General features: G+C 59.9%; 1 protein-coding gene across 10 annotated transcripts in view, besides 12 other annotated features; it reads left to right on the top strand.

Moving 5' to 3' along the window:
- Positions 1–27,780, top strand: part of MYO1C (myosin IC) — a 28,501-nt gene extending 721 nt beyond the window's left edge. The window contains exons 1-32 of one of the 10 annotated variants that reach the window (NM_033375.5): positions 287–366; positions 7,663–7,818; positions 8,241–8,356; positions 8,907–9,105; positions 9,408–9,488; positions 11,081–11,260; positions 11,341–11,439; positions 12,261–12,374; positions 12,464–12,535; positions 13,231–13,350; positions 13,474–13,556; positions 13,774–13,879; positions 13,995–14,075; positions 14,370–14,461; positions 16,934–17,028; positions 17,108–17,154; positions 17,276–17,356; positions 19,738–19,843; positions 19,942–20,059; positions 20,630–20,743; positions 20,819–20,895; positions 21,277–21,345; positions 21,447–21,531; positions 21,632–21,791; positions 22,352–22,435; positions 23,470–23,563; positions 23,658–23,713; positions 23,843–23,978; positions 24,056–24,126; positions 24,389–24,486; positions 24,625–24,724; positions 26,214–27,780. In NM_033375.5, the coding sequence (NP_203693.3) occupies positions 7,693–7,818; positions 8,241–8,356; positions 8,907–9,105; positions 9,408–9,488; positions 11,081–11,260; positions 11,341–11,439; positions 12,261–12,374; positions 12,464–12,535; positions 13,231–13,350; positions 13,474–13,556; positions 13,774–13,879; positions 13,995–14,075; positions 14,370–14,461; positions 16,934–17,028; positions 17,108–17,154; positions 17,276–17,356; positions 19,738–19,843; positions 19,942–20,059; positions 20,630–20,743; positions 20,819–20,895; positions 21,277–21,345; positions 21,447–21,531; positions 21,632–21,791; positions 22,352–22,435; positions 23,470–23,563; positions 23,658–23,713; positions 23,843–23,978; positions 24,056–24,126; positions 24,389–24,486; positions 24,625–24,724; positions 26,214–26,240 (3,087 nt within the window). In that variant the 5' untranslated portion in view covers positions 287–366; positions 7,663–7,692 and the 3' untranslated portion in view covers positions 26,241–27,780. Of the gene's footprint in view, positions 1–286; positions 367–1,020; positions 1,039–4,293; positions 4,311–4,736; positions 4,756–4,834; positions 5,015–5,834; positions 5,912–6,205; positions 6,273–6,391; positions 6,845–7,662; positions 7,819–8,240; positions 8,357–8,906; positions 9,106–9,407; positions 9,489–11,080; positions 11,261–11,340; positions 11,440–12,260; positions 12,375–12,463; positions 12,536–13,230; positions 13,351–13,473; positions 13,557–13,773; positions 13,880–13,994; positions 14,076–14,369; positions 14,462–16,933; positions 17,029–17,107; positions 17,155–17,275; positions 17,357–19,737; positions 19,844–19,941; positions 20,060–20,629; positions 20,744–20,818; positions 20,896–21,276; positions 21,346–21,446; positions 21,532–21,631; positions 21,792–22,351; positions 22,436–23,469; positions 23,564–23,657; positions 23,714–23,842; positions 23,979–24,055; positions 24,127–24,388; positions 24,487–24,624; positions 24,725–26,213 lie in introns of those variants that run through there. The other 9 variants (XM_047436137.1, XM_047436134.1, XM_047436133.1 and 6 more) reach the window with 9 other exon arrangements.
- Positions 25–424: a silencer, noted in NCBI's record as "silent region_7959". NCBI's record gives its function as "represses an Ori minimal core promoter by ATAC-STARR-seq in GM12878 lymphoblastoid cells {active_cell/tissue: GM12878}" and the evidence as "EXISTENCE:reporter gene assay evidence [ECO:0000049][PMID:35858748]".
- Positions 25–948: a biological region, named in NCBI's record as "H3K27ac-H3K4me1 hESC enhancer GRCh37_chr17:1394312-1395031".
- Positions 229–948: an enhancer, noted in NCBI's record as "H3K27ac-H3K4me1 hESC enhancer chr17:1394312-1395031 (GRCh37/hg19 assembly coordinates)". NCBI's record gives its function as "activates a minimal SCP1, AML or CMV promoter by ChIP-STARR-seq in naive H9 embryonic stem cells {active_cell/tissue: H9 hESC(naive)}" and the evidence as "EXISTENCE:reporter gene assay evidence [ECO:0000049][PMID:30033119]".
- Positions 505–944: a silencer, noted in NCBI's record as "silent region_7958". NCBI's record gives its function as "represses an Ori minimal core promoter by ATAC-STARR-seq in GM12878 lymphoblastoid cells {active_cell/tissue: GM12878}" and the evidence as "EXISTENCE:reporter gene assay evidence [ECO:0000049][PMID:35858748]".
- Positions 3,491–3,960: a silencer, noted in NCBI's record as "silent region_7957". NCBI's record gives its function as "represses an Ori minimal core promoter by ATAC-STARR-seq in GM12878 lymphoblastoid cells {active_cell/tissue: GM12878}" and the evidence as "EXISTENCE:reporter gene assay evidence [ECO:0000049][PMID:35858748]".
- Positions 4,391–4,550: a silencer, noted in NCBI's record as "silent region_7956". NCBI's record gives its function as "represses an Ori minimal core promoter by ATAC-STARR-seq in GM12878 lymphoblastoid cells {active_cell/tissue: GM12878}" and the evidence as "EXISTENCE:reporter gene assay evidence [ECO:0000049][PMID:35858748]".
- Positions 5,913–6,272: a silencer, noted in NCBI's record as "silent region_7955". NCBI's record gives its function as "represses an Ori minimal core promoter by ATAC-STARR-seq in GM12878 lymphoblastoid cells {active_cell/tissue: GM12878}" and the evidence as "EXISTENCE:reporter gene assay evidence [ECO:0000049][PMID:35858748]".
- Positions 7,043–7,212: an enhancer, noted in NCBI's record as "active region_11452". NCBI's record gives its function as "activates an Ori minimal core promoter by ATAC-STARR-seq in GM12878 lymphoblastoid cells {active_cell/tissue: GM12878}" and the evidence as "EXISTENCE:reporter gene assay evidence [ECO:0000049][PMID:35858748]".
- Positions 16,785–16,854: an enhancer, noted in NCBI's record as "active region_11451". NCBI's record gives its function as "activates an Ori minimal core promoter by ATAC-STARR-seq in GM12878 lymphoblastoid cells {active_cell/tissue: GM12878}" and the evidence as "EXISTENCE:reporter gene assay evidence [ECO:0000049][PMID:35858748]".
- Positions 17,005–17,134: an enhancer, noted in NCBI's record as "active region_11450". NCBI's record gives its function as "activates an Ori minimal core promoter by ATAC-STARR-seq in GM12878 lymphoblastoid cells {active_cell/tissue: GM12878}" and the evidence as "EXISTENCE:reporter gene assay evidence [ECO:0000049][PMID:35858748]".
- Positions 17,945–18,034: a silencer, noted in NCBI's record as "silent region_7954". NCBI's record gives its function as "represses an Ori minimal core promoter by ATAC-STARR-seq in GM12878 lymphoblastoid cells {active_cell/tissue: GM12878}" and the evidence as "EXISTENCE:reporter gene assay evidence [ECO:0000049][PMID:35858748]".
- Positions 22,809–23,429: an enhancer, noted in NCBI's record as "H3K4me1 hESC enhancer chr17:1371831-1372451 (GRCh37/hg19 assembly coordinates)". NCBI's record gives its function as "activates a minimal SCP1, AML or CMV promoter by ChIP-STARR-seq in primed H9 embryonic stem cells {active_cell/tissue: H9 hESC(primed)}" and the evidence as "EXISTENCE:reporter gene assay evidence [ECO:0000049][PMID:30033119]".

The raw sequence follows: 27,895 nt of genomic DNA, 5'->3' as shown, positions 1-27,895 counted from the left end.
CTGGCCCGGCCCGCAGGAAGGGGCTGGAGATGCAAAGGGCCCGGAGGAGGGAGAAAGTCGGGCGCCCCCACGCCCCCAGCAGCGCGGCGGGGAGCCGGGTCTTCGGCCGGAGGGGCGCGCGCGTGTTCGCTGTGGCCCCGGGAACGGGCCGAGGCGGGGGCCGCACGCACCGAGGCTTCGCGGACGCGGCCGGGGCTGAGGCGGGGCGGGGCGGGGCCGGAGGGTGCGCGGCCCTGCCCGGGATGACGACAGGCTGCGGCCCGGCCCCCGGCGGGCCCTGGGCGGGGAGAGTGCGCCCGGGCCGCGGATCCCCAAGCCCGCCACGCCGCCCAGCCCGGCCCCGCCCGCGCCGGAAGAGCCACGCCGGTGGGTACTCGGGGCGCGGGGACGGCGGCCGCGGGGGGCGGGTGTGGGGAGCGGGCGGCCGGGCCGGGAGCCGCCGTGCACGAGGCAGGGGTCACGGCCGGGGATCGCTGGGGCCGAAGAACGGCCGCGTGGACCCGTGCGGGGGGGGGGGGTCCCACGACCCGGAGGCGCCGGCGCAGCCTGGTGGAGACTTAGATTTACCTGCGGGGAGCGGGAGGCGGGGAAGAGCGGCCTGGGCTGCAGGACCCAGGACCCTGCGCGCCCTTCGGGCCCCGCCCGCAGCCCTGCTCCGCCTCTGGGTTCCGGAGAAGCCGCCTAAACCCGCCCCTTCCCGTTCTCCGCCCCTGGGGCCCAGCGCGCCCCGAGTGTGACGGGCGGGGGGCTCCGGGGTGGCCGGAGAAGGAGGATGGCCACGCGGCCCTCAGTCCTCACGCTCCGGCCTCCCGCGCACACGCCTGGCTCTGAGATTCATTCATTCATCCAGGGGTCCGGGAAGGGGTGACTGAGCCCCACCGTGTGCCTCGCTGCGTGTAGGGAGTGGGAGCCGTCTCCTGGGAGGGACTGACAAGGAAACAGCTGATTCCTGCGGGGTGCGATAAGGAGGCGCTGCGTGTTTGGGAGAATCAGGAAGGGGTTCTGGAGGAGGTGACACCTGAGCCGAGTCTCAGTGAGGTGGGCAGGGAGAGTGCCCCGGGCTGGGGAAGCCGCAGGTGCAGGCACTGAAGCTTGGACTGGCTGGCGACGGTGCGAAGGCCCCCTCCTGGGGGGAGGGGTGGGGGGAGAGGGGACTGGAGCGGGCCATCTGGCACATCGGAATGCAGGAGCAGTGGGGTAAACTGGGGACAGCAGGGGGGTCTCGGGAGTTCATAGGCAGGGTCCTGGTAAGCAGCAGTGAGTGTGAATCATGGGCCTGGCATATGGAGGGTGTCCTAAACCTTCACTCTATGAACATGAGGTGTTGATTTGATTTGTGTTGCCCCAGAGGAAATGGATTGGTAGGAGGAAGGCAAGGAGGCCAGTTAGGCTGCTGTCTTGGCCCAGGTAAGGAGCAGTGATGGAGGTGAGGTTTTTGTTTGTTTTTGTTGTTGTTTTGTTTTGTTTTGAGATGGAGTCTCGCTCTGTTGCCCAGGATGGAATGCAGTGGTGCGACCTCTGCTCACTGCAACCTCCACCTGCCGGGTTCAAGCTATTCTCCTGCCTCAGCCTCCTGAGTAGCTGGGATTACAGGTGTGTGCCACCGCGCCCAGCTAATTTTTTTTTTTTTTTAGTAGAGACGGGGTTTCACCGTGTTAGCCAGGATGGTCTCAATCTCCTGACCTTGTGATCCACCTGCCTAGGCCTACCAAAGTGCTGGGATTACAGGCCTGAGCCACCGCGCCCGGCCTGGAGGTGAGGTTTTAGCAGGTCGTGACTACTTGGTGTGAGGAGTGGAGGCAGGAGAGCAGGCCTGTTAATGCCAGGCTGTGATGACCAGCTCAAACAGTGCCACCCTTCTCTCTACAAGGACATTAAACAGGGAGTACAGGTTAGGGGTCAAAGGCCCTCTTTTTTTTTTTTTTTTTTTGAGACAGTGTCTCTGTCACTCAGTCTGGAGTGCAGTGGCATGATCTCAGCTCTCTGCAACCTCTTCCTCCAGGATTCAAGCAGTTCTCCTGTCTCAGCCTCCCAAGTAGCTGGGATTACAAGCGTGTGCCACCACACCCTGCTAATTTTTTGTATTTTTAGTTGAAACAGGGTTTCACCATGTGGGCCAGGCTGGTCTGGAACTCCTGACCTCAAGTGATCTTGCCTGCCTTGGCCTCCCAAAGTGCTGGGATTACAGGCATGAGCCACCGCTCCTGGGCCGTTTACTTTTTTTTTTCCCCCATACAAATTTATGTTAACATGTTATGGGTTTATTGCTTTGTTTCTTTGTTTGTTTGACACTGGGTCTTCTGGGGTACCCAGGCTGGAGTGCAGTAGCACCATCACAGCTCACTGCAGCCTCAACCTCTTGGGCTCAAGCAATCCTCCCACCTTAGCCTTCCAAGTAGCTGGGACCACAGGCACACACCATGCCTGGCTAACTTTTTAAAAAAATTTTAGTGGAGGCAGGGGTCTCACCACTATGTGGCCCAGGCTGGTCTTGAACTCCTGGCCTCAAGCGATCCTCCCACCTCGGCCTCTCAAAGTTCTGGGGTTACAGGTGTGAGCCACTCACTGCACCTTGCCTCTGTTCACGTTTGCTGGACCCCCCAGGCAGAGGTGTCTGGCAGCCAAAGATCCATGGTTGTGTAGCTAGAATGGACAGTCCTTGACCAAGGCCCTGTGAGCAATCAGGGTAGAGACCCTAAGTCGCCACTATCTCCTCCCCATTTCCCTTCACAACAATTCCCTGAGGTCTGGAACGGTCCTTGGTGGGCAGCCAGGCCCAGATCTAAGATTTGTTTAATAAACAGAAGTTGAAGCCCTGCTCTGTGCCACCCGTGAGACAAGCTGTGGCTGCCTTTCTGCTGCCTTGGGCTCAGTGGACATCGGTTTATAGCAGCAGTCCCGGGTGCCTCAGATGACACCTCCTCCCAGCCCCCAACACCCCTACCCCATGGCAAGATCTGTGTGCCCTTAGGCTGGGGGAACATTTGAGCTTTCCGCTGTCCGCAGAAGTCAGGCTTGTAGGCACCTGGCCTATAGGAGCTGAAGGGCACTAGATAGCCCAGGTCTGCTGGGCCACCCCATCCCCTGTGGTTCCAGTAAATGCCTCCCCAGGTGGGAGAAGACCCAGAGGCAGCCTTGGGGAAGAAGTCTCCTATGTCACTCAGGGGCCATGGCCTGCAGGGAACCTCTAGGCCCAGAGCCAAAGGCCCTGGCCCACTCCTAAAGCCCACATGTGACATAATAGAATCACACGACACCGACAGGGGCCTGAACGGTGTCACTGAAGGTCACAGCCCTGGTAGCCCTGATAACCGCACAAAGAGGCTCAGGGCAGCCCTGCAGTAAGGTGTTCCAGTGCCCGGGTTCCAGTCCCACTCCTCCTGAGACCTTGCACAAGTCACCTGCCCAGCCTCAAGTTCTTCTGCATTGGAGTGATGATACGGACCTCACGGCTTGGCTGGCGTCACTGAAAGGAGTAACCCAAGAAAGCGCGGAGAACGCAGGAGGCGCCTGGCGCTGCAGCCTCAGCCGCGGCGTCTTTCCCACCCAGGTTCCCCGCTTCCCTCCCCGCCCGGGGCTCGCGCTTCCGTCCAGTGAGGAGGGGCAGGCCGGGGGTTGCCAGTGCTGGAGCCGCCCTGGGGCCCGCGAGCGGCGGAGACGCCCCCTCCTTCCGCCGCCGGGCGGTGGCTGCGGGGGCGCCAGCGGGCATCCCGGGAATGCGGCGGCGCGGCCCGGGAACTGGAAGAAGCGGGCCCGACCCCTCCGCGCGCGGATTCCCCTCATTCCAACCGCGTGACGTGGAGGGGCGGGGCGGACACTGCGGCCGCGAAGCTCCGCCCCGTCCTCTGGCCGCGCCCCCGCTGGCTCCTGCCACGCCCCCGGCCCGAGTCCCCCACGCCTCGCGGGGCAGGGAGAGAGCTGAGCTTCCGGGAGGGGCTCTCTTGACCCTCTACCCCGTCTTCTAGGACGTTCCCCACCCCTGGGCGGGCTGGAGGCTGGGTCGCCTCCTTGCTCCCTCTAGATTTTCCTTGTTCTGTTTTGTTTGGAGACGGAGCTTCGCTCTGTCGCCCAGGCTGGAGTGCAGTGGCACAATCTCGGCTCACTGCAACCTCCGTCTCCCGGGTTCAAGCGATTCTCGTGCCTCAGCCTCCCGAGCAGCTGGGATTACACAGGCGCCCACCACCACGCTCAGCTAATTTTTGTATTTTCTAGCAGAGAGGGGGTTTCGCCATGCTGGTCAGGCTGGTCTCGAACTCCTGAACTCTGATGATCCGCCCGCCTCGGCCTCCGAAAGCGCTGGGATTACAGGCGTGAGCCACCGCGCCCGGCCCTCCCTCTAGATTTTAAACCTGGGGGCACCGCAGCGGGCGTCTCCTCCCGCCCTCCCCCGCCTCTGTCCGAGACGCCGCCATTCCCCCTCCCCCGCTCCCACTCCCCCACCAGCTGGTGCCCCCGCTCGGGGGTCCCCAGGGCCGCCGCTCCGGCCGGGTTGTTGCAGTGACGAGCCTTCCCCGCAAGGATCCGGCCCGCACCTGCCGCAGCCTCGCCCTCTCCCCAGGGAGCGGGGTCCGCGAGCTGGGGGTGGGGCGCTGGGGCTTTGGGTTCCCGCTCTGCCTAACCCCACCAGGGCGAGTCTGTGTACGCCGTTGTGTTGGTGGAGGAGGCAGGTGCCTGCAGACGCGCCTGAGGCTCTCCCCACCGGATCGGAAGCGTGGCCCACGGCCTGGCTCTCAGTAGGCCTCTGCCCGCAAGCAAGTGAGAAATGAGCGTCCGGCCGAGGGAAGGCGGCGGGTGGGGGCAGCGAGGTCTATAGGGGGTCTGGAGGTGCCTTCACGCTCTATCTCAGGCCACCCAACGGCCCTTCTAGGCCTGTGTTAGCCTCATGTTAGGGATGAAGAACAGAAGCCGAAACGTTAAGTGACTTGCTCAGAGTCCCACCGCGAGGAAGAACCAGCCCAGCCTTTTGCAGACTCTAGACGTCCCCGCCCCTGCCCGCGGTGGGATCTGAGCCAAGGTTCGCCCCAGGCGAGGGAGGGTGGTGCCCGCAGAGCCAAGCGAGGGAGGTTCTGCCGAGGCCGCTTCGGAGGTGGGGGGCGTCCCGGAGATCCGGAGGGACTAGGGAGGCCCCCTTCAAAGCAGGGAGGGAGATGGGCCGGGCGCGATGGCTCACGCCTGGAATCCCAGCACTTTGGGAGGCCGAGGCGGGTGGATCACCTGAGGTCAGGAGTTCCAGACCAGCTTGGCCAACATGGTAAAACCCCGTCTCTACTAAAAATACAAAAATTAGCCGAGTGTGGTGGCGCACGCCTGTAATCCCAGCTACTCGGGAGGCTGAGACAGGAAAATCGCTAGAACCCGGGAGGCAGAGGTTGCAGTGAGCCGAGATCGCGCCACTGAACTCCAACCTGGGAGCCAGCGCAAGACCCCGTCTCAAAAAAAAAACAGAAAAAAAAAGGAGGGAGGGAGGAGGTCCGGGCCCAGAGGCGAGTGGGGTGTCCCGGGTGGGGAGAGGCTGTGGGCCCCAAATGCCGTGGGCGGGGGGGACGCGAATTTCCCAGAGGGGGAACTGAGCCCTCCAGAGGGGCCGGGTACTCCGCGCGCTCGGCCAGGGCACCCGTTGGCCGTCCCTGTCCCTGGGGCGCGAGCTCCGTGCTGACGAGGAAAACCAAGATCTTCCTGGGTTCGAGGCTCGGACCAGGCCCCGGCGCGTGTGGGTGGACGGCGTCCCGCACGGAGAACGCTCCGCCCGCCGGGCGCGCCGGCCGTATTTGGACATTGGTTCTATTTTTAACTTTCCCGGGACTCGAGTTCGGGGGTTGGGGGAGGAAAATCCCGCTTCCTCTGGGACCCGCAGGCCTCGGTGCCCGCCCAGCGCCCAGGCCCGCCGCGGAGTGTAGTCCCAGGCCCGGAAGTGAGTTCCGGGTCGGTGTAGACGCGGCGGCCGCGCGGGTTCCGGGCTCCACCCTGGTGCCAACGGCGTCCCTCCTGGAAAACCTGACTCAGGCGGAGCCCGCCCCCGCCCCCGGCCCGCGGACCCCCCGCCCCGACACCCCCACCTCCACCAACCCCACCTGGAGGGGACCCCAGCCCGGCCGCGCGGGAGGCGGGGGAGGCCGGGGAAGCCCCGCGCTTCAGGGGCCCGGGTGGGGGCGGTGCGGGGGGCGGGCCCTCCCTCGCTGACGCCGCCGCCACCGCCGCCGAGCCCGGGACCCGGAGCGCGGGCAGCGGAGCGGGCGCCAGGCCGGCCGGGCAGGATGCGCTACCGGGCGTCGGTGAGCCTGGGGGCGGCGGGGCAGGGCGGGGGGTCCCGGGCGTCCCTCCCCACCTCGCGGCGTCGCCTCGGCCTCGCCAGGAAGCGGGCGCGGCCCAGGAATTCCGGGTGGAAAAACGTCCCGGGAAGTTGCAGGGGGAGGAGGCCGAGGCGGGGAGGGCGGCGCGGGACGCTCGGACCCGGGGCCGGATGAGGAGCCGCCGGGGACGCCTGAGAACGCGGAGACCCCTGACCCGAGGGCGAGGGGGCGGGGACCGCGGCCGGATTTGGCAGCCGCTTCGGCGCGGGATTGGAGCGGGGCGGTGAGGACAAGCCTGGGAGGGGCAGGCCCCCGGCCAGAAATCTGGGCCTTTCGTGGTCAGAGGACACCGGCGGCCCCTTTGGGATCCACCCCCAATCACCACCACCTTGTTCTTCTCTGACCCTGGATACTCTGGGTGTCCATTTTTTGGAGCCCTGAGACCCTGTTTGAAGAGGGATCCATCTCAGCCCTGGTTGTGGGGCGAGGGTCTTGCTCAGCCTGCACCACCCTCCACCCTCCAGTAGGACCCAGAGGCAGCTGGGCTTTCCATGGTAAAGCCCCCATCCCCTGAGGCTTCTCAGGACTCTCAGTGGAGGAGGTGCCTGGGGAGCCCAGCAGCTGGAGGAAAGGGAGTGGCCCCAGCCATGCGAGGGAGGGCCTCCCCCGCGTTCTGGAGTGGGTGGCTGAGCCCAGCTGGGGTGGGAGGCCCTCTGGGGGAACCCCTCTGGTGTAGTCTGGGAGTAACCTCTTGCTTGGTGCTCGACGCTCTACCGGTGGAGGTGGGGGTGGGTCTGGGTGGGAGAGACGGCCCCACCCTGCCTGCAGAATTGACCCTGAGCCATTTGTCCTCCAAAGCACCTGTCACACGTGGCTCAGAGCTGAGGGACCTGAGGTCACCTGGTCTAACTCAACTCCTCCTCCTTTAGGAGGAAGGAACCAGAGAGAGGAGGGGATTGGTCCAAGCTCAACAGAGCAGTCTTTCTGCTATTTCAAGGAGTTCCTTCTTGTGACCCCCCCTTTCTCCACCCAAAACCAGCACCTCCCGGGTTCTGCCCTCTGGTCCTGCCTGCGTCCATGCCCTGTGTCCGAGTCCCAAGTGGTTCATGTTGTCTCTGTTCTGTGCCCGCAGCCTCGGTGATCCCTCTGCTGCCACACTGGGACCCGGGCCCTCCACACCCGGCTTTCCGCACCCGGCCCACCACACCCAGGCCCTCAGCACCCAGGCCCCCCGCACCCGTCATGCTCATGTCCCGTGTCTAGCCCGGAGTCCACAAGCCCCTACGTTCCCTCTCAGTCCCACAGGCGCAGGGAAGTGGCCTTGCCCCGCCCCCGATGACTCTGACCCTCTTCTGTGGCCCATTCTCTGCAGGCCCTGGGCAGTGACGGGGTTCGGGTGACCATGGAGAGTGCGCTCACCGCCCGTGACCGGGTGGGGGTGCAGGATTTCGTGCTGCTGGAGAACTTCACCAGCGAGGCCGCCTTCATCGAGAACCTGCGGCGGCGATTTCGGGAGAATCTCATCTACGTGAGGCCCTTGTGGGGAGATGGCAGGGGTGCTGGGGTCACAGACACAGGCAAGCGGAGGGGAAAGAGACACCAAGGGTCACCGGGATAAACTTTTTTTTTTTTTTTGAGACAGTTTCACTCTTGTTGCCCAGGCTGGAGTGCAGTGGCGCGATCTCAGCTCACTGTAACCTCCTCCCCCCGGGTTCAAGCGATTCTCCTGCCTCAGCCTCCCGAGTAGCTGGGATTACAGGCACCCGCCACCACGCCCGGCTAATTTTGTATTTTTAGTAGAGACGGATTTCTCCATGTTGGTCAGGTTGGTCTTGAACTCCCGACCTCAGGTGATCCGCCCACCTTGGCCTCCCAAAGTGCTGGGATTACAGGCATGAGCCATCGCACCTGGCCCGGGATAAACTTTGGACCCTCTTCCCCCGATCCCAGACCTACATTGGCCCCGTCCTGGTCTCTGTCAATCCCTACCGGGACCTGCAGATCTACAGCCGGCAGCATATGGAGCGTTACCGTGGCGTCAGCTTCTATGAAGTGCCCCCTCACCTGTGAGTGACCCCAGCCCCTCCGGGAGCGACCCCTCTGTCTCCATCTGAGGTGACCCCGCCCAACCCTTACCTTACTCTGAAATGATCCTGGCGTCCCGCGCCACATCTGTGAGGAATCCCACAGTCTCTTGCCCCCCAGTGACCAGAGATGAATGTCGCAACTCAGCTCCATGTGGGTGGGACTCAGTCCCTACCCCGACTCACACCCATGACTTATTCCCCAACTGGGAGTGGCCCCCCAATCTTAGTGACCTCTGAACCCCACCTGCAAAGACCCCCCCCAGCCCTACCCGTGAGTGACTCCAGCCTCCACCTAAGTGACCTCCAGCCTCCCACCTGTGAGAGCCTCTCAGTCCTCCCGCTGGCGGTGACGCCCATTCTCAGCTATGACGGATCTCCCATGGCCCACACCTGTGAGGGACCCCCAGTCCCCATCCTCAAGGGTGTATTCGACTCCCACAAGAGGACTCCACCCAGATGTGGGAGCGGGACTCTCGTGGGGCTCTGCTTGGCCCCCCTCCCCAAACTCCCTGACGAGCCTCCGCCCCAGGTTTGCCGTGGCGGACACTGTGTACCGAGCACTGCGCACGGAGCGTCGGGACCAGGCTGTGATGATCTCTGGGGAGAGCGGGGCAGGCAAGACCGAGGCCACCAAGAGGCTGCTGCAGTTCTATGCAGAGACCTGCCCAGCCCCCGAGCGCGGAGGTGCCGTGCGGGACCGGCTGCTACAGAGCAACCCGGTGCTGGAGGTGAGGGGCAGGGAGAGAAGCCCAGTGCCAGTGCGGGAGGGGAGGGGCAGGGAGAGAAGCCCAGTGTGGGAGGGGAGGGCAGGGAGAGAAGGCTAGTGTGGGAGGGGAGGGGAGGGGCAGGGAGAGAAGCCCAGTGCAGGAGGGGAGGGGAGGGCAGGGAGAGAAGCCCAGTGCGGGAGGGGAGGGGAGGGGCAGGGAGAGAAGCCCAGTGCGGGAGGGGAGGGGCAGCAGTAGCTACAAGGCGGGGTGGGGAGGGCAGGGGGAGAGTGCCAGGTGTCCCTCATACCCCTGTCCACTCCTAGGCCTTTGGAAATGCCAAGACCCTCCGGAACGATAACTCCAGCAGGTTCGGGAAGTACATGGATGTGCAGTTTGACTTCAAGGTACCATGGATGTGTGTGTCGTGAGGATTCCCATTCAGTAGGCTCTACACGTGTGAAGCACCTACTGGGTACCAGGGACTATTCCAGGTGCTGCAATTCCAGCAGTCAAACAAAGCAAACAAAAATCCTGCCTTCCAGGGTGATAAACAATAAACAGGGAAATTGAGGCCGTGGCAGAAAATAAAATGCAGTAAGGAGTGGGGGGCAGGTGCGGTCGTATTAGGGTAGGCCTCACTGAGAAAGTGGCATTTTAATAAAGGCTTGACAGCTGGGTAGGGTGGCACATGTCTGTTGTCCCAGCTCCTCTGGAGGCTGAGGCAGGAGGATCACTTGAGGCCAGGAGTCCAAGGTTACCCTAAGCTATGATCATGCCACTGTACTCCAGCTTGGGCTACGGAGTGAGACCCTGTCTCTAAAAAAAATAGAAAATAATGGCTTGATGGAGATAGGAGCAGGCTGTGCAGGTGCCTGTCCAGGCAGCGGGAACGGAACAGCCAGGACAAAGGCCTGAGATACGAGGGTGCTGGAAGTGTTCCAGGACAGCACGGAGGCCACAGCGGCCAGAGAAGAGAGCAGGGGCCCGCGAACAGAGAGAGGCCAAACGGTGCAGGCCCTTTTGGGTTGTTGCAAGAACTTTTTTTTTTTTTTTTTAACTCTGAGTAGAAGGGGAGTCATCGGGCTGGGTGAGGTGGCTCATGCCTGTAATCTGAGCACTTTGGGAGGTTGGGGCAGGTGGATCACGTGAGGTCGGGAGTTCAAGACCAGCCTGGCCAACATGGTGAAACCCTGCCTCTACTGAAAATACAAAAATTAGCCAGGCACGGTGGTGTGTGCCTGTTGTCCCAGCTACTCAGGAGGCTGAGGCAGGAGAATTGCTTGAACCCGGGAGTTCGAGGGTGCAGTGAACTGTGATTGCACTACTGCACTCCAGCCTGGGTGAAAGCAAGACCCTGTCTCCAAAAATAAAAAATAAAAAAATGACTTTAGCTGCTTCACTGGGAGATTGGGAGTAGACGAATAGATGGGAGGGGAACCAGGCTAAGCAGGGAAAACGGTTAGGGGGCTGATGTCATCATGTAGGTGACAGGTGACATTGGCTCAGACCAGTGTGGTGCAGTGGAAGTGGCGAGCAGTGATTGGATTCTGGATGTTTTAAAGGTTAAGGCAGCAGGATGAGCTGCCTGATTGGATGTAGGGTTTGGAGAAACACAGGCTTCCAGGAGGACTGCCAAGTCCTTGGCTTGAACAACGAGAAGGATGTAGTCACCACTGACCAAGGAGGGCAGACACTAACAGGAGCTTGTTTGAAGAGGGAGAAGGTCCGGTGTTGAGCTTCAGGCCTGTTGAATTTGCGATACCTGTCAGGCATCCAGGTGGAGCAGCCAGGTCGTTGGAGTTGAATCTCCCCATTTCCTAGATGAAGTAACTGAGTCCAGCGTGGGTGGCGTGCCTGAGCCGACGCAGCTAGTGGCAGGGCTGGAATTGGCATCCAGGTCTGGCTGCCAAAGCCCAGGAGTGCAGGGGAGAAGAGGGGCAGGTGGGCTCTTTTCCCAGTCCCCGTGACCCGGCCTCATGCCCTGCCCTGCCCACAGGGTGCCCCCGTGGGTGGCCACATCCTCAGTTACCTCCTGGAAAAGTCACGAGTGGTGCACCAGAATCATGGGGAGCGGAACTTCCACATCTTCTACCAGCTGCTGGAGGGGGGCGAGGAGGAGACTCTTCGCAGGCTGGGCTTGGAACGGAACCCCCAGAGCTACCTGTACCTGGTGAAGGTGAGTGGCTGGCAGGGAGGGCAGGTGCCACCCAGGGATCTGGTGCCAGGGCTGGCAACCCAGCTGTGCCCTTCCTCCAGGGCCAGTGTGCCAAAGTCTCCTCCATCAACGACAAGAGTGACTGGAAGGTCGTCAGGAAGGCTCTGACAGTCATTGATTTCACCGAGGATGAAGTGGAGGTGAGGCCTCTTCCGGGACCCTCGCTTTCCTCCTGTCACACCCCCAAAATCTCCTTTTTTTTTTGTTTTTTATTTTTTGAGACGGAGTTTCATTCTTGTTGCCCAGGCTGGAGTGCAGTGGTGCAATCTCAGCTCACTGCAACCTCCGCCTCCTGGGTTCAAGCAATTCTCCTGCCTCAGCCTCCCGAGTAGCTGGGATTACAGGCGCCCGCCACCACGCCCAGCTAATTTTTTGTAGTTTTAGTAGAGACGGAGTTTCACCATGTTGGCCAGCCTGGTCTCGAACTCCCGACCTCAGGTGATCCGCCTGCCTCAGCCTCTCAAAGTGCTGGGATTACAGGCGTGGGCCAGTAATCCCTTTTTTTTTTTTTTTTTTTTTTTTGAGATGGAGTCTCGCTCTTTCGCCCAGGCTGGAGTGCAGTGGTGCGATCTCAGTTCACTGCAACCTCTGCCTCCAGGTTAAAGTGATTCTCATGCCTCAGCCTCCTGAGTAGTTGGGATTACAGACACCTGCCACCACACCTGGCTAATTTTTGTATTTTTAATAATGATGGGGTTTTGCCATGTTGGCTGGGCTGGTCTCGAACTCCTGACCTCAGATGATCCTCCCGCCTCAGCCTCCCAAAGTGCTGGGATTACAGGCGTCAGCCACCGTGCCCATCCCACCCGCAGAATCACCTTCCACCTTTAACACCCATTCCCACTTCCAGCCCCTTCTCTCCGACACTTCACCACCCACCCCTGCATGGCCATCTGCTAGTTGCCCTCTTGGGGCTCTCTGGCCCCTCTCACCCCCTCCTGCCCCCGGCCTGCTCCCCCAGGACCTGCTGAGCATCGTGGCCAGCGTCCTTCATTTGGGCAACATCCACTTTGCTGCCAACGAGGAGAGCAATGCCCAGGTCACCACCGAGAACCAGCTCAAGTATCTGACCAGGGTGAGTGGGGCGGGCAGAGGGCGACGGGAGGACGGCGGGGGCGGGGGCTGGGGGTGCACCCTCACCGTGTCCTCGCCTGCCCTTGGCAGCTCCTCAGCGTGGAAGGCTCGACGCTGCGAGAAGCCCTGACACACAGGAAGATCATCGCCAAGGGGGAGGAGGTGAGGCCGGGCCCTTGCCCTCGGGTGTGGAGGGGCAGCTGTTCCAAGGCAGCCCCTACTCCCATCACTCCCCTTCGCCTGGTTCCCTCAGCAATGCTGGAGGGATGGAAGGAAGGCTGCTCAGAGAAGCAGAGTGAGAGCCGAGCGCCGTGGCTCACGCCTGTAACCCCAGCACTTGGGGAGGCTGAGGTGGGCAGGTCACCTGAGGTCAGGAGTTCGAGACCATCTTGGCCAACATGGTGAAACCCCATCTACTAAGAATACAAAAATTAGCCGGGCATGGTGGCGGGCGCCTGTAATCCCAGCTACTCGGGAGGCTGAGGCAGGAGAATCGCTTGAACCCGGGAGGTGGAGGTTGCAGTGAGCCGAGATCACGGCAACAGAGCTAGACTCTGTCTCAAAAAAAAGAAGCAGCACAGTGAGCTGGCCAGGGTCACATAGGAAGAGAGTAACAGTCCGGCTAGAACCAGACTCCCACCTCGGGAAGGAGGCCTCCTGTCCCTCTACCACCTTCCCTCTGGGGTGGCCACCTGTCCTCCCTGAGGTCCCACTACCAGCACCCCTCCCCATACTGCAGGCTTGCTGGAGCTGGGAGTGCAGAGTGGTGGCGGCTTCCTGGTCTGCCTGAGCCTGGGAGCAGGTGGGATGCACAGGCTCTGTGGCATTCATCTCCTTGTCTCACGCTGCGTCCACAGCTCCTGAGCCCGCTGAACCTGGAGCAGGCCGCGTACGCACGAGACGCCCTCGCCAAGGCTGTGTACAGCCGCACTTTTACCTGGCTCGTCGGGAAGATCAACAGGTCGCTGGCCTCCAAGGTGAGGGCTCGGTCCACACTGCTCCCAAGGCAGAAGGGAGGGCCGTCGGCGAGGCGGGGGGTGCTGCAGGGTGGGGCTGGCACGCGCAGGGGGCCCACGCCTTCGGTTGAATGACTGCCCTAGGACGTGGAGAGCCCCAGCTGGCGGAGCACCACGGTTCTCGGGCTCCTGGATATTTATGGCTTTGAAGTGTTTCAGCATAACAGGTCGGTGCCATCTTTCCCCCGTCTCTCCTCCCGGTCTCCTGTCCTGCTCCCTCTCTTCTGTCCTCCAGCCTCTCATTCCTGCCCTGTGACTCCCCAGCCAGCCGGGGACTGTCTCTGTGTTTCTCACCTCCTGTGCTCAGGGGCGTCGTCCAGCTTTTCCCCTCTCCTGGTCCTGTGTCCCCACTGAGCCACTGTGGGCTCTTCTCCTTCCTTACAGCTTTGAGCAGTTCTGCATCAATTACTGCAACGAGAAGCTGCAGCAGCTCTTCATCGAGCTCACGCTCAAGTCGGAGCAGGAGGAGTACGAGGCAGAGGGCATCGCGGTGTGTGCTAGCCTGGGGGCACTCTCCGTGGGCCACGGGGAGCCTGGGTATCGGGGCCCCTGGGAGAGGGTGCCAGGACCCCACGGTGATCCCTTCCTTCCCTTCTGCCCCTCAGTGGGAGCCCGTCCAGTATTTCAACAACAAAATCATCTGTGATCTGGTGGAGGAGAAGTTTAAGGGCATCATCTCGATTTTGGTGAGTCCTCTGCGCCTCCAAGGCCTGGTGCTGGAGGCTGGGTGGGAGGATGTCCCCCTTCTCCGTTCTCTCCAGGCTGGTCCACGGAGGGCCAGAGTTTGGGGCTGAGTAGAGACAGGGCAGAGCTGTGAATGGAGGATGGAGGGAGGTGCCGCCCCAGTTGGAAGCTCTCTGTGGAGACTCCCTGTGATCTGCCCCTCCCCTGTGTCTGTGCCTCCCAGCACGGTGACCCCAATCCTCTGTGCGCTCTGACCTGTCCCCCATACGTCCTTCCCCCTGTGCCACACCCCCCAGGATGAGGAGTGTCTGCGCCCCGGGGAGGCCACAGACCTGACCTTCCTGGAGAAGCTGGAGGATACTGTCAAGCACCATCCACACTTCCTGACGTGAGTGGGGCTGCGGGGCTGCTGGGGGCAAGGGCTCACTTGCAGCAGAGCCTGCGGAGTGCAGGAGTCCCTCCGCCATCACAAAACACCAGCCACAAGGAGGTGACCAGGGACGGTGCTGAGTTAAGGACCCCTCACATGTGTCCAGAAACTAAGAAGCTTAGCCAGGCATGCTGACACGCCTGGAGTCCCATCTATGCAGAAGGCTGGGGCAAGAGCATCACTTGAGCCCTGGAGTTTTGAGGTTGCAGTGAGCTAGGATCAACCCACTGCACTCCAGCCTGGGTGACAAGAGCGAGACTCCGTCTCAAAAAAAAAAAAAAAGGGAAAAAAATAAATAATGAATTTTTTAAAAAAGAGAAAGAAGGCCAGGTGCAGTGGCTCACGCCTGTAATCCTAGCACTTTGGGAGGCTGAGGCGGGTGGATCACCTTAGGTTAGGAGTTCAAAACGAGCCTGGGCAACATGGTGAAACCCAGTCTCTACTAAAAATGCAAAAATTCGCTGGGTGTGGTGGCAGGTGCCTATAATCCCAGCTACTCGGGAGGCTGAGGCGGGAGAATCGCTCGAACCCGGGAGGTGCAGGTTGCAGTGAGCCGAGATCGCACCACTGCCCTCCAGCCTGAGCGACAGAGTGAGACTTCAACCCCAAAAAAAAAAACAAAAAACAAGACACTAGTAGCCTGGCTTCCTCCTTCTTCTTGTTTGAGAATGAAACTTGCTAAGATTTTTCATCTTCCTTGTTTGGAAATTGATTTTTATTGAAGGAATCCTCTGAAGTGGGGAGAGGTAGAAACAGGAACAAGCGCCTCTGTCCAGCGCGGTCTGATGCATGCTGTGCATGTCGTCGCTTCACCTGCAGCTGCTCCTTGAGGGGTTCTTGGTGTTTTCTCACTGAGACTCCAAGAGGCGAAGTCATTTCCCCAAAATTAGCTCTCATCTGGGTTGCCGAGCTGGGGTCAGTGCCAGGGCTGTTGAATGCCAAAGCCATGAGTATTTTTTGCATAATAATATATTGAAAATTTGTTTCTGGATGGGCGTGGTGGCTCACGCCTGTCATCCCGACACTGTGGGAGGCCTAGGTGGGCAGAGATCACCTGAGGTCAGGAATTCAAGACCAGCCTGGCCAACATGGTGAAACCCTATCTCTATTAAAACTACAAAAATTAGTCAGGCGTGGTAGTGGGCACCTATAATTCCAGCTACTTGGGAGCTAGGAGAATTGCTTGAACCTGGGGGGCGGAGCTTGCAGTGAGCTGAGATGGTGCCACTGCACTCCAGCCTGGATGACAGAGTGAGACTCCGTCTCAAAAAAAAAAAAAAGACTTGTTTCTAGGAGTCTCTCTGAATCTATTCGGGTTTAGGGGCTGCCTGATTCATTAAATAATAAATACTAAAAACTTGTTCCTGATTATAAAAATAATATTGCTTATTACAGCAAAGTTGGAATGTGCGCAAAAGCCACCTGTGATCCCGTCGCCCAAAGGCCATGGCTGTTAACTGTGTGAGGCATTTCCCTCCTGCCTTTTTCTATGCATTTTTTTTCGTAGTCGAGAACTTGTGTATAAGGCTCAGGGTAAATATCCTGCACATTTTCCCGTATCATCAAACAACATTTTCCTCAGAACACTTCCTGGAGCGGTTCTGACCCACAGATACTCCCCTCTCTCACCCAGCCCTTCGGGGCCCCTGGCCAGCCTCCCAGGTTTCTGCTGGAATCACAAGGCTGCCACAAACATCTCCGTGCCTTCAATCTTTGTCCGTGTCTCTGGTTAGCTGCTTGAAATAGTTCTTAAAAGCAAATGGGTGAAAGGGTATAAACACGCCTAAGACTTAAGTGCTCTCTTGGGGCAGCAGATTCCATTCTGAAAAGTAGTGCGCAGCTCACCACCCCTTCTGAGCAGAGCCCGCAGCGGCCGAAGCAACGAGAGTTTCCCTCCCTGCAGCGTACCCTGGCCGTCAGGAGGCCCAGGTCCCGGTCCTGGCACTGTGTGGCCCTGGCCAAGGCCATCTACCTCTCTGAGCCTCCATGGTCCGCTCTGATCAGGGAGGCCACTGGCCCTGCCTGGCCTGCCTCAGTGACCCAGCCCTGGGGGTGCACCTGCTCTTTTTTTTTTGGAGTGTAGTGGCACCATCTCGGCTCACTGCAACCTCTGCCTCCCAGGTTCAAGCGATTCTCCTTTGTCAGCCTCCTGAGTAGCTGGGACTACAGGCGCCCACCACCACGCCTGGCTAATTTTTGTATTTTTGGTAGAGATGGGGTTTCACCATATTGACCAAGCTGGTCTCGAAGTACTGACTTTGTGATCTACCCACCTCGGCCTCCCCAACTGCTGGGATTACAGCCGTGAGCCACTGTGCCCGGCCTGGGGTGCACCTGGGCAGCTGGTTCCTGCTCCTGAGGCCCTTTCAGCAGGCAGAGGGCTTGGCTCAGGCCGGCAGCCATCTGCAGCTTCCTCCCTGTCACCCCCAGGCACAAGCTGGCTGACCAGCGGACCAGGAAATCTCTGGGCCGAGGGGAATTCCGCCTTCTGCACTATGCGGGGGAGGTGACCTACAGCGTGACCGGTGAGGATCCTGGGGCTGTGTCCCCACAGGGGCCTGCGGGGAGGCTCTGTCTCACCTCACGTCGGTTCTCCCCTCCCAGGGTTTCTGGACAAAAACAATGACCTTCTCTTCCGGAACCTTAAGGAGGTGAGGAGGACGTGGGGAGGCCGGGGTGGGGGTGGGGATAGCCCACAGCTCTGCACCTGTGTCCAGGAGCCTGTCCTGCCTGTCCCTGTGCCCCACCCTGACCCCGGCTCTGCCCACACAGACCATGTGTAGCTCAAAGAATCCCATTATGAGCCAGTGCTTTGACCGGAGCGAGCTCAGTGACAAGAAGCGGCCAGAGACGGTGAGGAGGTGGCGGGACCGGGCGCAGGGGTGCATGCGCCTGAGTGTGCATGAGGGCCTGTGTGAGCCTGGGAGCTGGCAGCGTGCGTGTGAACGCGTGTGAGCCCGTGCACATCTGCAGGTGTCTGTAGGGGGCTGCCTTAGGTGCCTCTTTGCCTACTTTTTTTTTTTTTTTTTTTTTTTGAGACAGGGTCTCGCTCTGTTGCCCAGGCTGGAGTGCAGTGGCGCAATCTGGGCTCACTGCAACCTCCACCTCCCTGGTTCAAGCGATTCTCCTGCCTCAGTCTCCTGAGTAGCTGGGATTACAGGCGCCTGCCACCATGCCCGGCTAATTTTTTGTATTTTAAGTAGAGATGGGGTTTCACCATGTTGGCCTGGCTGGTCTCAAACTCCTGACCTCGGGTGATCCACCTGCCTCGGCCTCCCAAAGTGTTAGGATTACCGGTGTGAGCCACCACGCCTGTCCCTGTTTGCCTACTTGTGTGTGTGTGCTGTGTCTATAGTGGAGTCGTGTGTCTTCAGTGTGGGCTGTGTCTGTAGGGGAATCCTTGTGTACGTCTGTCTCTGTGGGTGCCCATATGTTGACAGCTGCCTCTGTGCGGTTGCTGTCATGTGTCTACCCACTCAGCAGACATTTATAGCAGACACTGCCAGGCACTGAGGTACCACAATGAGTGGGTGTGCCTGCAGCAACATGTGCACAGGGTGCTTTGCAAACTTAGAAGAGGGAACAGCAAACGGCCTGACGGGGCGGAAGGGGTGAGGGGTTGGGGAGGCTCCCTGGAGGAGGAAGCATTGGAGATGACTTGGGAATGTCAGATGAACCTATAGTGAGGGCCCAGTCCAGACACAGAGAGTCTAAAAAGGCCATGAGGTGAGCAGGAAAGCGATGGCATCAAGGAGAAGGACCGGGGGAAAGGCAGGCATGGCCAGGGTGCCAGATGCAGGGAGGGCTCCAGCGAGCTGAAGGCGGAGGTACGGCTGTTGGGCTTGGCAAAAAGAGGGTCAGGGGAGCCCCAGAAGAGTGAGGTCAGTGAGTCCATAGGGAGGTGGAAGCCAGACTGCCTGGCAGGGAGGGCATGCAGGCGACATGCTGCCCAGGGTGTGGCTCACTGTGCCCCTGCCCGCTGCTGCCGTCCACCCCACCCTCTCCCGAAGCACCACATCCTCCCGGCCCTAGCGTCTCCCTGCTGAGGATGCCTACACACCCTCCCGCCCAGGCCTCTCCAGCAAGCCACAGACTCGTGTATCTCATCCTCTTCCCCTAGGTGGCCCCAGGGCACCCTAGATCCCACTGGTCTATAACAAACGGGCCCTTGGTCTGCCCCTCCAGGCTTTCTCCTTCTTTGACCCAGTCCCCCAGGCCAGAAACCTGGGTGTCATCCCCTTTTTTGTTTTTGTTTTTGTTTTTGAGACGGAGTCTCGCTCTGTCACCCAGGCTGGAGTGCAGTGGCGCGATCTCGGCTCACTGCAACCTCTGCCTCCTGGGCTCACGCCATTCTCCCACTTCACACTCACGAGTAGCTGGGATTACAGGTACCCGCCATCGTGCCCGGCTAATTTTTTTATTTTTGTAGAGATGGGGTTTCACCATGTTGGCCAGGCTAGTCTTAAACTCCTGACCTCAGGTGATCCGCCCGCCTCGGCCTCCCAAAGTGCTGGGATGACAGGCGTGAGCCACCGCGCCCGGCTCCGGCCCCCTCGTTCTTTTCTCTCCTTGTCTCCCTTGTCCAGCCACTGGATCTTGCCGGAGTACTTAGCAGCTCCCCCTCAGTCCTTCCCTGTAGCCACTTCACCCGCCCCTCCTCCTTATCCTTTAAAGCTCAGCAGAGCGTCATTTCCAGAAGACGTCACCTGGTGCCCCCTAACCCTCAGACTGGATGAATTGTCCCTTTGTGGGGCTCTCAGAACCCACAGGCATACACCTGCTACTCTCGGAACACCGGGATTGTGAGTCTTTGCCAAGGAGCGTGCTCCTCCGCCAGGCCTGAGATCCTTCCAGGTCCCGCAGAGCAGCATACCCAGATACTAGCTGAATGCGTAGCATGGGACATGCTGTTTAGGAACGCAGCCCTGAAGTTCTAGAAAGAAAAAGAAGGGCCACTAAAGGGAGGTGTAGCACTGAGGTTGCTGGGAGACCTGAGCAGGAGTTTTAGGCTGGAGTGAGGCTCGTAGACTGAGGTCTCTCGCCCAGCCAGAGGGGTAAGGGGTGGAGTCTGGCCCCCTCCTCTGCTGCGAGGAAGCTGTGGTGGGAGGAGTAAGGACCAGGCAGAATCAGAGGCTGCTGCGCGCGTCACCAGCCAGGGGAGTGGGGTACTCGCTGCTGGGGTCAGCAGCTTTAGCCCAGCTCCGGCCAACCTCCCATGCCTCTTGGCTCGCCAGGTCGCCACCCAGTTCAAGATGAGCCTCCTGCAGCTGGTGGAGATCCTGCAGTCTAAGGAGCCCGCCTACGTCCGCTGCATCAAACCCAATGATGCCAAACAGCCCGGTAGGCCCCTCCCACGGGGGACTTCGGGGCCGGGCCTCCCCTGCAGGAGACAGGCCGTCAGCGCCAGCCCGCTGACCACGGCGCTCCCCCTACCCCAGGCCGCTTTGACGAGGTGCTGATCCGCCACCAGGTGAAGTACCTGGGGCTGTTGGAAAACCTGCGCGTGCGCAGAGCCGGCTTTGCCTATCGCCGCAAATACGAAGCTTTCCTGCAAAGGTGGGGGCAGGTCCTGCTCGGTGCCAGGGAAGGGGAGCGGGAGGGTAGGAGCCCCTAGGTCCCATGAGGGCAGACAAGGGTTCTCGGCCCCATTTTAGAAATGCGGATGCGGAGGCCCTGGGCTGCCCTTGGTGGAGGCCCTTGGTGCTGCGGTCCTGACATCAGGCTGGGTGGAAAGAATACCCGGCTCCCCCAGGCCGTGCCCTCCAGGAGCACCCGGTCAGGGGTACAGGAGGCCTCCGTCCACGTGCCGGGCACCAGAGGCAGACAGCAAGCCTTGTAGGGCAGCTTCCAAGGGGCTCCGAAAGGGTGGAGCAGCTTTGTGGTTCTTCTGAGTCGGGGGCCTGGGGGGTCAAACTGAATTTCATCTCTGCCACTTTCTAGTTACTTGGCCTTAGGTAGATAAGAACGGTTTCTTCATCTTTAAAATGGGGGCAGTGACCGAGTGAGCCTCCTGCTAGCTGTGAACGAGTCAGTGGGAGCACCCAGCAGGTGCCCAGAGAAAGCTGATTGGGGTCCCCAGGGCAGGCTGCTGACTGGGGTGGGAGCCGCGTGCATTCCTGTCCCCAGGTACAAGTCACTGTGCCCAGAGACGTGGCCCACGTGGGCAGGACGGCCGCAGGATGGGGTGGCTGTGCTGGTCCGACACCTGGGCTACAAGCCAGAAGAGTACAAGATGGGCAGGTGGGTAGTGTCCGTGCCGGGTGCCTGCGGGGAATGGGAGTGGCAACCCCGGGCTGATCACTACTGCTCTCCCAGGACCAAGATCTTCATCCGCTTCCCCAAGACCCTGTTTGCCACAGAGGATGCCCTGGAGGTCCGGCGGCAGAGCCTGGGTGAGAGAGAGGCCTACCCTTCCTGCTGCACGGGGTCCCTTCTGGGAAGCAGGGAAGTCACTCCCTTGGGCTCCTTCTCCAGGGAGTCCACCCCTCCCTATCAGCTCCAGCCCCACGCCCAGCTCCAGGGAGTCCTTCTCCAGAGAGTCCAATGGCCGACTTGGAGCCCCTCCCCACCAGCTCCAGCCCCACGCCCACCATCCCACCCGCCGCCCCCCTTTTCCGGGCAGTCCCCACATTCATTCTTCTTCACCACTCTCCTCCTGCTCGTTGGTTCCTTCAGCCACTCTCCCATTCATGCCACTCGTGGAGCGCACACGGCACCAGGCTCCCAGCTGGCTCCCCGCGCTCTGGCCAATTGCCTTTCTTTCCCAACCGCAGCCACAAAGATCCAAGCTGCCTGGAGGGGCTTTCACTGGCGGCAGAAATTCCTCCGGGTGAAGAGATCAGGTTCGCGGGCCCATGGGTGTTCAGGAGGGGCGGGGTCTGGGGCCAGGGGGGGCCACCATGGTAAGAAGATAGAGTTCAGCCATCTGTGGTCTCCACGACAGCCATCTGCATCCAGTCGTGGTGGCGTGGAACACTGGGCCGGAGGAAGGCAGCCAAGAGGAAGTGGGCGGCACAGACCATCCGGCGGTGAGCGCCAGGGTGCCTTGTGGGGGCTGCAGAGCAGGGCGTGGGGGGTGGTTCACCGCCAGGCCCCTCACCCCCAACCCTGTCTGGCCCCCCACCCCAGGCTCATCCGAGGCTTCGTCCTGCGCCACGCCCCCCGCTGCCCCGAGAACGCCTTCTTCCTGGACCATGTGCGCACCTCTTTTTTGCTAAACCTGAGGCGGCAGCTGCCCCAGAATGTCCTGGACACCTCGTGGCCCACGCCCCCACCTGCCCTGCGTGAGGTCTGTGGGCACCCCCTGCCAAGTTAGGGACCATCATAGTACACAGCAGAAGGGTCTGATTTCTTCGGGCCAAAGGATTGGTCAGGGAGGGCTCACGGAGGGCCCGGACCAGAGCTGAGCAGTGAAAAGTAAGGTCTCTTTTTTTTTTGAGATGGAGTCTCACACTTTCGCCCAGGGAGTGGCATGATCTCGGTTCACTGCAACCTCCGCCTCCCGGGTTCAAGCGATTCTCCTGCCTCAGCCTCCTGAGTAGCTGGGACTACAGGCGCCCGCCACTACGCCCGGCTAATTTTTTTATTTTTAGTAGAGACGGGGTTTCACCCTGTTGGCCAGGCTGGTCTTGAACTCCTGAGCTCGGGTGATCCACCCACCTTGGCCTCCCAAAGTGCTGGGATTCCAGGCGTGAGCCACCGCGCCCTGCCGAGTAAGGTCTCTTGACCGGAAGCGTCTCCAGATGGAGGGGGTGTTACTTATCCAAAGGATGCAGTAGCATATGTTCGATGTCTTCAGAGGGAAGGGCCCAGGGTGTCCAGGACCTCTGACCTCACTCCTCCCCTTAGGCCTCAGAGCTTCTGCGGGAGTTGTGCATAAAGAACATGGTGTGGAAATACTGCCGGAGTATCAGCCCTGAGTGGAAGCAGCAGGTACGGAGAGCGGGGCTGGGTGAGGATGAGGAAGTGGAGTCAGGGAGTCGCAAGCATTGCTCAAAGGGTGTCCGCCTGGAGGGGCATTTACCCCGGTCTACCGTATTTACCGCGTTCTACCGTATTTACCCCGATCTACCGTATTTACCCTGGTCTACTCTATTTACCCCAGTCTACCGTATTTACCCCGCCTACCGTATTTATCTCGGTCTACTGTATTTACCCCACCTACCGTATTTACCCCAGTCTACTCTATTTACCGCAATCTACTGTATTTACCCCGTCTATAGTATTGACCCCGGTCTACCGTATTTTGCCCTGCCTACCATATTTACCCCGCCTACCGTATTTACCCCGGTCTACTCTGTTTACCCCGGTCTGCTCTATTTACCCCGGTCTGCTCTATTTACCCTAGTCTACCGTATTTACCCCGGTCTACCGGTGACCTCAGTTGGATGCCAGGCCCTGCTGGGCCTCGTGTAGGAAGTGGACACTGGAGTACAGCTGGGGTGGCCAGTAGGGTTCATATCGTGGGCCAACTGCCCTTGATTGGTAGAGACTGCTCAGAACCCTGTGTTGAAAAGTCTGCGTCTTCACTCGGGTCGATTGGTGATATCTGCCCTGATTACAGGCATTGGTTGATGTGCCGTGTTTTTGCCAACTCAGTATTGGATGATGCTAAAGGGCCCACCCAGTAACCTTGAGTATTAGTGATCTGCTGCTTACAAGACCCCAAGCTGGAGCTGAGTCTCAGGGCCACCAGGGCCTGATGGGGTGGGGAAGCATTACCAAGGCCAGTTTCAAAACCCCGCAGTGCCTTCATGACCCCGCTGGGGAGTGCTTGGTGGCGGCAGAGGGTCAGGAAGTGGAGGGTTGATGGGCGTGTGGGGGGCAGGGCTCAGCCTCCTGGTGCTGAGCCAGAGAGGGACCAGCAAGCGGGTGAGGGAGGCTGTCTCAGGTCCTAAGGCTGGCTCTGCCCCCCCAAGATGGTGCTCCCCACCATGACACTCTCCTCACCCCCCTTGTCTCCTCAGCTGCAGCAGAAGGCCGTGGCTAGTGAGATCTTCAAGGGCAAGAAGGATAATTACCCTCAGAGTGTACCCAGGCTCTTCATCAGCACTCGGCTTGGTGAGCCCCTGACTTTCCAGCACTCAGACCTTTCGTCACCATCCTGGTCCCCCATTGCCTCCACTGACTTCCCTCCCCGCCATCTGAGTTGCAGGTACAGATGAGATCAGCCCCCGAGTGCTGCAGGCCTTGGGCTCTGAGCCCATTCAGGTAAGAGCCTGCCTGCAGCCCTGAGTCCAGCAGCACGGTGCTACTGCCTGAGAGCTGAAGGCAGGTCAGGGCAGGGGCGGAGCCTTGGGAGCCTCTCCCCAGCCCCTTCAGCCTGGCCTCTGTCCCCAGTATGCGGTGCCTGTTGTGAAATACGACCGCAAGGGCTACAAGCCTCGCTCCCGGCAGCTGCTGCTCACGCCCAACGCCGTCGTCATCGTGGAGGACGCCAAAGTCAAGCAGAGGATTGATTACGCCAACCTGACCGGTCAGCCAGGGTCCAGGGCTGCAGGGGGAGGGCCCTGCTCTGACCCTCGACCTCTGACCTTTGCCCTCTCCCCTCAGGAATCTCTGTCAGCAGCCTGAGCGACAGTCTTTTTGTGCTTCATGTACAGCGTGCGGACAATAAGCAAAAGGTGCCTTTTCATGGATGGGGAGGAGTGGTGGGGGATGGGGGAGGTAGATGGGGAGGTGGGGTGGATGGGGGAATAGGGGGTGTGGGGGTGGATGGGGAGGTGGGAGGGTGGATGGGGGTAGATTGGGGGGTCAGGAGGTGGATGGGGAGGTGGGAGGGTGGATGGGGGTGGATTTGGGGGTCAGGAGGTGGATGGGGAGGTGGGGCGGGGGTTCCTCAAGTTCTGGGCAGGGCCTGACCCCTCCTCCTGCCTGGCCCCCCAGGGAGATGTGGTGCTGCAGAGTGACCACGTGATTGAGACGCTGACCAAGACAGCCCTCAGTGCCAACCGCGTGAACAGCATCAACATCAACCAGGGCAGGTGAGGCGCGGGCGGCCCCCGGGGACAGGGCGGGGGTGGCGAGGGGGCTGTGTGGGCACCCAGGGACAGGGTGGGGGTCCACCTTAGGGTTGGGGGTCTGCCTCCATGGAAAAACCCTCACCCACCCCGTTCCCCCAGCATCACGTTTGCAGGGGGCCCCGGCAGGGATGGCACCATTGACTTCACACCCGGCTCGGAGCTGCTCATCACCAAGGCCAAGAACGGGCACCTGGCTGTGGTGAGTGGGGCCTGCTTTCCCGCTTATGGCCTGGCTGTGATAGCCAAGCCTTCCTTGGCTGTGCTTGGCAGAGCCCAGGCACCTCACCATGGGCCTTCATCCAGAGGCCATCATACCACCTCTTCCATCCCTTGGCCCACCCATGAGGGCCAGAGAGAGCCCCTCAGTGCAGAAAGTTGTAAAGGTGGCAGCACGGTGGCTCATGCCTATAATCCCAGCACTTTGGGAGGCTGAGGCGGGTGGATCACCAGAGGCCAGGAGTTTGAAACCAGCCTGGCCAACATGGCAAAACCCATCTACTAAAAAAATGCAAAAGGCTGGGTGCAGTGGCTCACACCTTTAATCCCAGCACTTTGGGAGGCCGAGGTGTGTGGATCACCCGAGATCAGGAGTTCGAGACCAGCCTGGCCAACATCGTGAAACCCCATCTCTACTAATAACACAAAAATTAGCCGGGCGTGGTGGTGCACGCCTGTAATACCAGCTACTAGTGGGGGCTGAGGCGGGAGAATTGCTTGAACCCAGGAGGTGGAGATTGCAGTGAGCTGATATCATGCCACTGCACTCCAGGCCTGGGGAACAGAGTGAGATGTCATCTCAAAAAAAAAAAAAAAGGCCAGGCACAGTGGCTCACGCCTGTAATCCCAGCACTTTGGGAGGCGAAGGCAAGTGGATCACCTGAGGTTGGGAGTTCGAAACCAGCCTGACCAACTGGAGAAACCCCATCTCTACTAAAATACAAAATTAGCCGAGTGTGGTGGCGCATGCCTGTAATCCCAGCTACTTGGGAGGCTGAGGCAGGAGAATCGCTTAAACCCGGGAGGTGGAGGTTGCGGTGAGCCGAGATTGCGCCATTACACTCTACCCTGGGCAACAAGAGCAAAATTCCATCTCAGAATTTGTATACAAAAAAGTTAGCCTGGTGTGGTGGCGTATGCCTGTAGTCCCAGTTGCTCAGAAGCCTGAGATGAGAGGATTGCTTGAGCCCAGGAGGTTGAGGCTGCAATGAGACCCAAGATCTCACCACTGCACTCCAGCCTGGGTGACAAAATGAGACCCTGTCTCAAAAAAAAAAAAAAAAAAAAAAAGGCAGCACGGCAATGCAGGGAAGATACATAGGCTGATTGGGGGTGCCAGGAGGGAGGACAGGCTCACAGGCTCACGCTGGCCAGGGCGGTGGGCATTCCTATGGGAGTCAGGTCTGAGTCTCCAGGATGGAGACCACTAGGCCCCCACCACTCCTGCCTGCATCGAACCCATGAATCTGAGCGCTGGGGCTGGGTGCGGCGGCTCACGCCTGTAATCCCAACTCTTAGGGAAGCAGAGGTGGGAGGACAGCTTGAGCCCAGGAGTCCAAGACCAGCCTGGACAATATAGCGAGACCCCATTCTCCATAAAAAGGAAAAAACAAGGACGAAAAGAAAAGTCTGAGTACCGGGGCCCCCGTCTGCTCCCCTCACCACTTGGCCGTCTCTCTCCGCCCCCACAGGTCGCCCCACGGCTGAATTCTCGGTGATAAAGGCGCCCACTGGACCCTCCCAACGCCCAATGCTTTGCTTTTCTCCTCCTCCCCTTCCCAGTTACCAAAGACTCGAACTTCCAGACAGGGACCCAGGGACACCCCGAAGCCCACCTGCAATCTCCCACCTCCTGCCCATCCCTCTCTTGAGGGAGCAGCAGGGGCCAGGAGCTACCCCAGGAGTGGGCCAGGCCGGGCCACAGCAATAGGAAAGCCAGGGCCAGAGCGAGCCATGCCAGCCCTACTGCCGATGCCAAATATTTGAGAGAAGGGAACTTTTGCTGAGGTTTTCTCTGAGGTTTTTTTGATGCTTTATAGGAAACTATTTTTTAAAAAAAGCCATTTCCCACCCAAGGACACAGTGGATGTGTTTTCCCTGACTCCAGCAGGGCAAGGAATGTAGCCGAGAGGTTGTGTGGGCTGGGCTCTGGTGCCCTCTTCCCTGGCCAGGACACCTCTCCTCCTGATTCCCTTGGCACCTTGTCTTTCTGTCTGTTTACCTGTCTCCCTGCCTGCCCATCTGCATCTTTTGCAGCCCACTCTGACTTCCATCTGGGGGCTGAGACCACCCTTGCCTGCCCCCTTCTTTCTGCCTTAAGAATGTCCTTTTAGGCTGGGCATGGTGGCTCACGCCTGTAACCCCAGCACTTTGGGAGGCGGAGACGGGCAGATAACCTGAGGTCAGGATTTCGAGACCAACCTGACCTACATGGAGAAACTCCGCCTCTAGTAAAAATACAAAATTAGCCGGGCATGGTGGTGCACGCCTCTAATCCCAGCTACTCGGGAGGCTGAGGCAGGAGAATCACTTGAACCCGGGAAGTGGAGGTTGCAGTGAGCCAAGAGTACACCACTGCACTCCAGCCTGGGCAACAGAGCGAGACTCCGTCTTAAAAAAAAAAAAAAAGAACGCCCTTTTACTGTCCTCATCATCCCAGTTTGAGGCAGTGCTGGAGTGGGGAAGGCCGTCTTAGACCATAGAGGTTGGAAGACGCTGAGAGATCATCCAGCCCAGCCCCTTGATGTTACAGAGCAGAAGACAGATGCCCAAACAGGAGAAGGCACTTGCCCACGGTCATACGGCAGGTTGCCACAAAACCAAGATGGCAGCCCTTCCTCAGCGTGCCTCACTGCCACTCCCAGAGCCAGGGAGCCCCATAAAACCCACATCATGTCTTAAGAGTATATCTGGCTCCTTGACCAGCAATCGGCCCTGGGAGCCACCAGGTGGGAAAAGCGCCTCTGCCAGAGTCCAGGCCTTGGGATGACAGACAGCTTGCCCGCACACTCGGGCCCCACTCAAGGATGTAGGGCCTTTTCTGGCCCCTGACCCCTCCCTGGCATGGGAGCGTGGGGACGGGGCTGGCCTTGGGAGGAGCGGCAGGGGCATCACCTCCTTCTGCTGCTTCTCCCTGCTCCTACCCTCAAGGGCCTGGGGGCTGCCCAGCTGCCTCTATGCCCTTCTGGGGGTCTCAGCCCACTGCTGACACTTCTGCAATCCAGAGAAACACTAAATAAAGCAATACGTGTTTGCCAATGTGGTCTCCTTATGAATATTAGGAAACGAAGAGGGCCCCGGAAGGCAACCAAGGGCCTCGTGTTGCAGGTTTTTCTCGAGACAGTCTCGTTCTTGTCACCCAGGCTGGAGTGTA

This window comes from Homo sapiens, chromosome 17 (assembly GCF_000001405.40).
Source record: "Homo sapiens chromosome 17, GRCh38.p14 Primary Assembly".
NCBI lineage: Eukaryota > Metazoa > Chordata > Mammalia > Primates > Hominidae > Homo > Homo sapiens.
The sequence above is the reverse complement of the archived record's forward strand: the minus strand, read 5'-3'. Positions and strand labels throughout refer to the sequence as shown.